Consider the following 8,550-nt stretch of genomic DNA (forward strand, 5'->3'; position numbering starts at 1 on the left):
ATCTTTACTAAAAATACAAAAAAGAAAAAAAATTTAGCCGGGCATGGTGGCTGGTGCCTGTAATCCCACCTACTCCTGAGGCTGAGGTAGGACAATTGCCTGAACCCGGGAGGCGGGGGCTGCAGTGAGCCGAGATCGTGCCATTGCACTCCAGCCTGGGCAACAAGAGTGAAACTCCATCTCAAAAAAAAAAAAAAGAATGTTAATAAAAGTTCATTATACGTAAGAAAAATTATTCACTCTCAACCGAGTTACTTACAAGTGATTCTAAGAAAATCAGATATCCTTTTCCATCTTTCTTTTCTCTATTATGTATAATATACCTCAGACTAATTTATATTTCTGAAACCTGACAGTCATGAGATGTTTGAAATAAAGAACAATTCTTTTTTTTTATTATTATACTTTAAGTTTTAGGGTACATGTGCACAACGTGCAGGTTAGTTACATATGTATACATATGCCATGTTGGTGTGCTGCACCCAGCCAAATGTCCAACAATGATAGACTGGATTAAGAAAATGTGGCACATATACACCATGGAATACTATGCAGCCATAAAAAATGATGAGTTCACGTCCTTTGTAGGGACATGGATGAAGCTGGAAACCATCATTCTCAGCAAACTATCGCAAGGACAAAAAACCAAACACCGCATGTTCTCACTCATAGGTGGGAACTGAACAATAAGAACACAAGAACAATTCTTAATAGTGACCACATCAGTATGACTTTTGATATTGTGAAAGGAAAATAAACCTTCGGGTCCCCAAATCACTAGGGCAAAGGGAAAAGTTAAGCTGGGAACTGCTTAGGGCCAACCTGCCTCCCCTTCTATTCAAAGTCACCCCTGTGCTCACTGAGACAAATGCATATCTGATTCCCCCTTTAGAGAAGCTCATCAGAAACTCAAAAGAATGCAACCATTTGTCTGTTATCTACCTATGACCTGGAAGCCCCCTCCCTGCTTGAGTCTTCCTGCTTTTGGTTCTAGTTGTCCCATCTTTCCAGACTGAACCAATGTTCATCTTGCATATGTTGATTGATGTCTCATGTCTTCCTTGAATGTATAAAACCAAACTGTGCTCTGACCACCTTGAGCACATGTCATCAGGACCTCCTGAGGCTGTGTCAGGGGTGCAGATCCTCAAATTTGGCAAAATAAACTTTCTAAATTAACTGAGACCTGTCTCAGATTATTGGGGTTCACAATATATGTTTTATCCTTACACAATATATTATATGTTTTCAGTATTTTTTAATGCTTGAGGGTCTAATTCATAGCAGAAGCAGAAAGCCTGATCTCTGCCTGTTGTTCCAGTTTGAAGTTCATAGTCAATAATTCTGTCTTGGCCCGTAATTAAACTTTGTCAACCTTCTTGGTTTTTGACCATCTTTCCCCTCTCTTTACACCTTTAATCACCCAGGTACTTACCTTCACAGCATCTCTGACTCTCTATGCTGGGCCTCTCTCTGTCTGCTGCCCACAGATCCATTCCTCATCCTGCCCCTGCCTTGCTCTGTATCCAGGAGGGTTGACTCCCGGTCTGTGCTTCCCGGGCTCCCAGGTCCATTGGCTTTCCATTGGGTTCAGCTAATTGATGAGAGACTGGAGGGCTGGGAGGGAGAGGGTGGGGCATTGCTCTCCTCCCCAACAGCCTTATGTGGTATGTCTGTTAGCACCTGCACCCCATTGTGAATCCTGCTCTGACCATACAGACACACCTGAGGTGGTTCCAGCTTCCATTAGATGGAGCGGCTCCAGGTCCCAGGTGGCATTACTTCCTTCTCTTGCCCCCAGCCTAAGGGCAGCAGTCGTTTCCTGCTGTTGCAAATCCCCGGGTTATCTGCTGCCTCAATGTGGCTTCTCAGTTCCTTCCGCGCCCATGTTACCCTCTCCCTGCAATGAGTTTCCTTTGTGTACATGCTTGAAGAGTTTTTCATTTTCCCAGTTAAATGCTAACAGACACTATCTCTTACAAACTGCCCTATTTTCAGATTGTCTATACTAGTATCAATGATTATAATTATGATTCTTAATGGTGGGTCAGTAACCAATAAAATATGCAAGATTTTCATTTAGTTCTTACATAAAATGAGATGCACCTCCATATATTTTTACATATAGCAAGAGCTACTTATCGGTAGTTTAATAAGTAGATTATTATTATTATTATTATTATGAGATAGGGTCTTGCTCTGTCACCCAGGCTGGAGTGCAGTGATGCGATCACGTTTTACTGCAACCTCAACCTCCCAGGCTCAACCAGTCCTCCCACGTCAGCCCCCGAGTAGCTAGGACTACAGGGTGCGTGCTACCATGCCCAGCTAACAATAAGTGGGTTATTAAGGGTTATTAACTTTTATTATACATACAGCAAAATTCTTTTAACAGCATTGCTGAAAAACATTTCTAAATATTATAGTTGTTAATTCATAGCATTCTGCCTCTGTATGTTAATTTATCAATATAATTATTTACAACGTAGTATAATGTTTCCCTGACAAGCTTGCGGACTTCAAGTCTTAAACATACTAAAATCATGTTCAGAACTTTTGGAAAATACAGGTTCCTGGAACCTAACCCAGACTGACAGTATCTGACCTTGGAGAAAGGAGGCCAGGGTGACGTCTTGGCATTTAGCTTCTCAACCTGATGAGGGGTGTTTGGGAAAACAACATAACAAGTGGAAGGCTGAGCATAAATACCATTTCCAAGTCACCACTTGGTTGACTATTGGATTATTGCATTTTACCTCTGAGAAGCTTACAGGGACTGTAATAAACGCTGGAGCTGAAATAATATTTAAAGTATTCACATGCAAGAGGCACCCCAATCACTTCCTTGAAGTCTTCATCTGAGGTTTACTACAAAAACACTTAGTCATTTTCTGAGGTGTGACTATTTCTGTCTGATGGACAGGAAAGGGGGAAAGTTTTACTCATATCAATTAATAAAGAAGTTCTGGAAAGATCTTGTATTTCCAGAAAATAAGCCAACCTAGTAACACCACGAGCCCTGTTTGTGCTTGTTTTGAACTGCCTGTAACTCAGATTTGGTCTGGGTGAGAAACAAGAGTTACAAAACAGCATTTTCTGAATGTGAATCCATTTTCAAAGTTCCCGAAAGCTCTTCTTGAGAGCCCGTGGGGCTTTTTATATCTGTTCACTGTGGGAGAGATTTCCAGTTGCCCTTCAATGGCTTTTTTTCCCTCATCTTCCTTGGTATTAAGACTTTTAGATAAACACACAGCTCACAGAATAATCTGTCAGTGCATGGAGGTGTGTCCAATCTGTGCATGTCAGCTGTCTCATGTGCTCCCAAGGAAAAATGGTGGAAAGCCTTAACCTGGGACACAAAAAAAACAGATGAAATTTAATCTCTGAGATGTCTTGAGGAGCCAGAGAAATGTCTAAAGGTAAACATTTTTAGAAAAAAATTATCTATCTTTATTAATTAATCTTCCTCCCCACCTAATTCCTAAAGCACTCAAGGTGACTGCGTAGATACTGTCATTTATTAGATATACTGACAAGGTAACTGACTCTTTAAAACAAGGAATACTTGGCTAGTCTCAGATGAGCATGTGAGGTAACGTTCAAGATAGGCTTCTAATCATAGGTGCTCGATACAGTGATTATTTTTCCAAACACACACCTACATGCACAATTAAAATTGACCTACAGAATCAGTTTGATCTTGCTTTTGGGTCAGTTAAAATTATCTTGTGAGCATTTTGTAATTCTTTTGAAATTCTTCAAACTGATTCCATTGAAAAACAAAGACATCATGTATTCAAATTCCCCTTTATTGTTCAATATGTCTGTTATTCTCACTCTTTATTATTACAAATCATGCTGCAATGGACAGAGACTGGAGAGTATCAGTCACCATCATCCTGGCTGGCTCGTGCAGGTTGAGAAGGCAGCAATCGTGGGGAGGGCAGGAAAGGGTGTCAAGAAATGCCATAAAGGATCAAGGCCCAAGTCACAGATCTGAGAGCAGCCTCAATGGCTGCCATAGAGAGCAAACACAAGCACTTCCTACCTCAAGTCCTATTAGTTTGTCTTGTTTTTATTTGCGACCAAATTGCAATTCATCATCATTTCATTCCAAATTATTGGAATCCCAGAAGCACCTCCTGACTCTTACCTGTTGAGCTCTTGGTAAGAACCTCTATTACTCACAGCAGCAATTTATTTTGATGGGTATGTTAGTGAATATTACACATATTCCATTAATATTACAGACATCCCATTGGTTGAATTTTGATAATTCTTCCTATTTTACAGAGATGAAAACGAAGGGTCACTGCCCAATGCCTTGGCTTGTAGGTCAGGTGACCATGTATCTGACCCTGAACCTCTGCTCCTGACACCACTCCACCATGGTGCTGGTGGTGTTGCCGATGCTGGATGGGGGCTGAAATGTCAAATGACTGGTAAGCTGAGCCCGAAAGGACATCGGGTCCCCCAGAGAGCCAAGCTGAGAGTCAAGCTGAGAAATAAGCCTGTGCTAGCCAATTTACTACAAGCTCCACTGAACAATGACTGTGACATCAGTTCAGGGACAAATAGTGGTGGTGGCCCACTCCTGGTTTTTCAGGATGGGGTTTCTCCACTCTGGCTGCATGGCTGGGTCACTACGGGAGCTTAAAGGAGTTTCCTCTGCATGGTCTACACAGAGGATTCTGAGTTAATACTTTTTGATGGGGCTGGAGCATCGCTAGCTTTGACAAACTCTTCTGGTGATTTCCATGTGCCCCCAGGGTTGCGAACCACTTTTTAGGGACTTCTGAGGCTCTGAACTAGTGGTTGTTGAAAGTGCTAATGTGTCCTGTAGAAAAACACTTTCAGGCCGGGCGTGGTGGTCCATGCCTGTAATCCCAGCTCTTTGGGAGGCCGAGGTGGGGTGGACTGCTTGAGGTCAGTAGTTCAAGACCAGCCTAGCCAACATGGTGAAACCCCATCTCTACTAAAAATACAAAAATTAGCCGGACCTGGTGGGACACGCCTGTAATCCCAGCTACTCAGGAGGCTGAGTCAGAAGAATCACTTGAACTCCGGAGGCGGAGGTTGCAGTTTGCTGAGATCACACCACTGCACTCCAGCCTGGGCAACAGAGCAAGACTCCATCTCAAAAAAAAAAAAAAAAAAAAAAAAAAAAAAGGAAAAGAAAAGAAAAACACTTTTCATCATATAAATTAATCTTACTACTTTAGCAAGAGCCCCAGAAAGATATAGCAGTGGTTAAAAAGGTGATATATAGAGGAATTCCAGTATCTACTTTTCTGTTGTGAAGTCAGAGGGACAGAAACCTAGTGCTTATATGCACAGCAACGTGGGAGGCAGATGTGGGAAAAAGTCTGGGATTCCAGTTTTCATTTCAGCTTAGAAGCTCCTTAGCAGTGAAGCTGTCAGTCTGTCCACTTTCAAATCTTGTAAGTCATGAAATCGCTCATTGCAACCTGGTGTTATTTTTTTCTCCCTCCCTCTTTGCCTCCCCCCTCCCTCCTTCTTTCCCTCCCTCCTTCCCTCCTTCCTTCCTTCCTTCCCTCCCTCCTTCCCTCCTTCCTTCCTTCCCTCCCTCCTTCCCTCCTTCCTTCCTTCCTTCCCTCCCTCCTTCCCTCCTTCCTTCCTTCCTTCCTTCCCTCCGTCCCTCCTTCCTTCCTTCCCTCCCTCCGTCCCTCCCCCTTTCCCTTTCCCTCTCTCCCTCTCTCCCTCCCTCTCTCTCTCTGTCCCTCCTTCTCTCCCTCTCCCCCTTTCTTTCTTTCTTTCTTTCTCTCTCTCTCTTTCTCTTTCCCTCCCTCCCTCCCTGCCCCTTTCCCTTTCCCTCTCTCCCTCTCTCTCCCCCTCTCTCCCTCCTTCTCTCCCTCTCTCTCTCTTTCTCTTTCTTTCTCTTTCTTTCTTTCTTTCTTTCTTTCTTTCTTTCTTTCTTTCTTTCTTTCTCTCTCTCTTTCTTTCTTTCTCTTTCCCTCCCTCCCTTCCTTCCTTCTTTCCCTTCCTCTGTCCCTCCCTCCCTCCTTCCTTCCCATCTTCCTTTCTCAAAGTCTATAATTTAAATGTTAATTGCATCTATAAATACCTTTACAGAAACATCAGTACTGTTTGTAGGCTAAATGTCTGGGCACTGTAGCCTCACTAGTTCCTCATGGAGGTATAAGTAATGTTCAGGGGTCAGTGCCTCTGGCCCAGTGATGGTGGTCCGTTTGAGAAGGGCCCTGCAGTGCTCGACCAATAAGGCAGCCTTCCCGGGTGTGCACCTACAGGCTTTTAAGTCACATTATTAATGGTGTGATCAGACCCACGGCAGGTCTACCCCTGGAATAATAAAGAATGCTGAAAGATAGAGGGAAATGAAAATGATAATGGAGGATTAGGGAATAATATTTCAATCAAATATAAATAAAATCGGCTTCTTCCTTGGACTCTTTTTTTTTTTTTTCTTTTTTTATTTTTAAAGACAAAACCTTTTTTTCAAATAGGGAAACTCAATTCTAGTAGACCATAGTGGCTGGCAACCTATTTTGAGAGAGATGGTTTGGAAGAAGAGCAGCTTCCTTAGGCCAGAACGAGAACCGCGCTGAAGCTAACAGGAGAGGTCTGAGGGCCGCAGCGCGGGGCCCGGCGGGCTGGGCAGTATGCTCCTCTCCAGCCTCAGGGGTGTGCAGGCTGGCTTGGCCATAACCACCAGAGGAGGAGCCGGTGGGAGACTGGGTCAGCTCCTACCTCCCGGGTCTATAAGCAGAAAACGTGGCTCACAGAAAACCACAGTGAAGCCGAGCCCCTTCCTGGGAGCTTTCCCTGCCCAGTGGTTGAGCTCTGGGGACTGGAACGGATGCTGTGGGTCCAGGACTGAGACAAGGTCCCTGGGGACGGGAGTGGTCCCTAGTGGTAGAAGTGGGGACTACACCCAGAATTCTACCCAGGTGAACTGGAAGAGAAGCCCCCTGGGCAAGCAAATATGCCTTTTTTTTTTGTAGCCTCACAAAGGGTTACTAGGTTTATTAGGGTGAGGATGCAATGAATTTTAAAATATCAGACCAAAATTTTTATAATCAGTAATTCATACTCACTGTGGTTCCCATACCAAGAGCCAAGAGCAGAGACACCACTTTCAGTAGTAGTGTGTGGGTTTGGGGAAAAGGGAAAGGAAAGCAACCCTCCTGAGGTTGGGTTGGTAAAGAATAAGGGAAAATTACTTTTCCTTCTTTTCCCAAATAGTCCACACTAGCTTAAAAAAGGATAAGTTTATTTTTCAATAACTTAATTTATTAAAGATAGAACTGAACTGAAGCAGTATATTGGCATTTCTGCTATAATGTTATATATAAGATCACAAAAAACTTTATGTACTGCAAAATCATGTGCTAAAATATAATAAGGCTTCTGGGAAAAAGAATGTTGCAAATTTTTAACCACAGTACTGACAAAAACATTAGGAATCCTAGGAGAAAGAATCAGAGTAAAAATGACAGTTTCAATCCCTTAAAACCAAAACAAAATTGTAGGTAGCTGTATTAGTCCATTGTAATGCTGCTTAGAAGAATCACCCGAGACTGGGTAATTTATAAAGAAAAGAGGTTTAACTGACTCACAATTCTGCAATGTGGGGAGGCCTCAGGAAACTTACAGTCATGGCGGAAGGAGAAGCAAACACATACTTCTTCACATGGCAGCAGCAAGGAGAAGTGCAGAGCGAAGAGAGGAAAAGCCCCTTATAAAACCGTCAGATCTCATGAGAACTCATTCACTATCATGAGAACAGCATGAGGGTAACCACCCCATGATTCAATTACCTCCTGCCAGGTCCCTCCCATGACACATGGGGATTATGAGTACTACAATTCAGGATGAGATTTGGGTGGGGACACAGCCAAACCATATCAGTAGCTTAACAGAAGTGGGTGAGCCACTTAATAAGCAGGTCCAAGAAAGAACAGGTGGTAAAACTGAGTTGAGTAGCAGAAAGTGCCACGAATGAATGTTGAAGGTATCAAGGCTTTTCAAACTCCAATATGCATATGAATAACCTTGAGGTGTTGTTCAAATGCAGATTTTGATTTAGTCAGCCTGGAGTAGGGTCTGGGATTCTGCATTTCCAACAGGCTTACCTGAGATGCTCCGACTGTGAGCTTTTGGAGCACACTTGGGTCGCCTGAATATGCAGTACTGTGTTGAATCCTCCATGCCTGGCTGTGTTCAGCTGGGCTAGTGGACTTTGCAGGAAGCTATTGTTACCGGGAGGTACAAAATCTAAACTCCTGGTAAAAACTGTGAGTCAGCATGCCTTTTCTCCCATTCGGATATTCCCCAAATCGTCAGTCATGGATGAGTTAATTTAGATTGCACAAACATGCACTGTAGCAAAACAGACTCTATTTGGGACTAGGAACTTCTTAACTTTCCTTAGAGAGAGATCTCTACTCTGCTAGTCCTTAGAATTAAGAAACATTAGGGCTGAAAAGAGACATGAAAAGCAGCCTGTTGAACACTTTCATTTTATAGGTGATAAAAATGAAGGTCTTGGGTCACCCAGCTGGGTGGAGG

The 8,550-nt window shown here is 43.1% G+C and overlaps 1 annotated feature.

Moving 5' to 3' along the window:
- Window positions 7,599-8,264: an enhancer, noted in NCBI's record as "OCT4-NANOG hESC enhancer chr10:6690794-6691459 (GRCh37/hg19 assembly coordinates)". NCBI's record gives its function as "activates a minimal SCP1, AML or CMV promoter by ChIP-STARR-seq in naive H9 embryonic stem cells {active_cell/tissue: H9 hESC(naive)}" and the evidence as "EXISTENCE:reporter gene assay evidence [ECO:0000049][PMID:30033119]".

Source organism: Homo sapiens, chromosome 10 (genome assembly GCF_000001405.40).
Source record: "Homo sapiens chromosome 10, GRCh38.p14 Primary Assembly".
In the NCBI taxonomy this organism is placed as follows: Eukaryota; Metazoa; Chordata; class Mammalia; order Primates; family Hominidae; genus Homo; species Homo sapiens.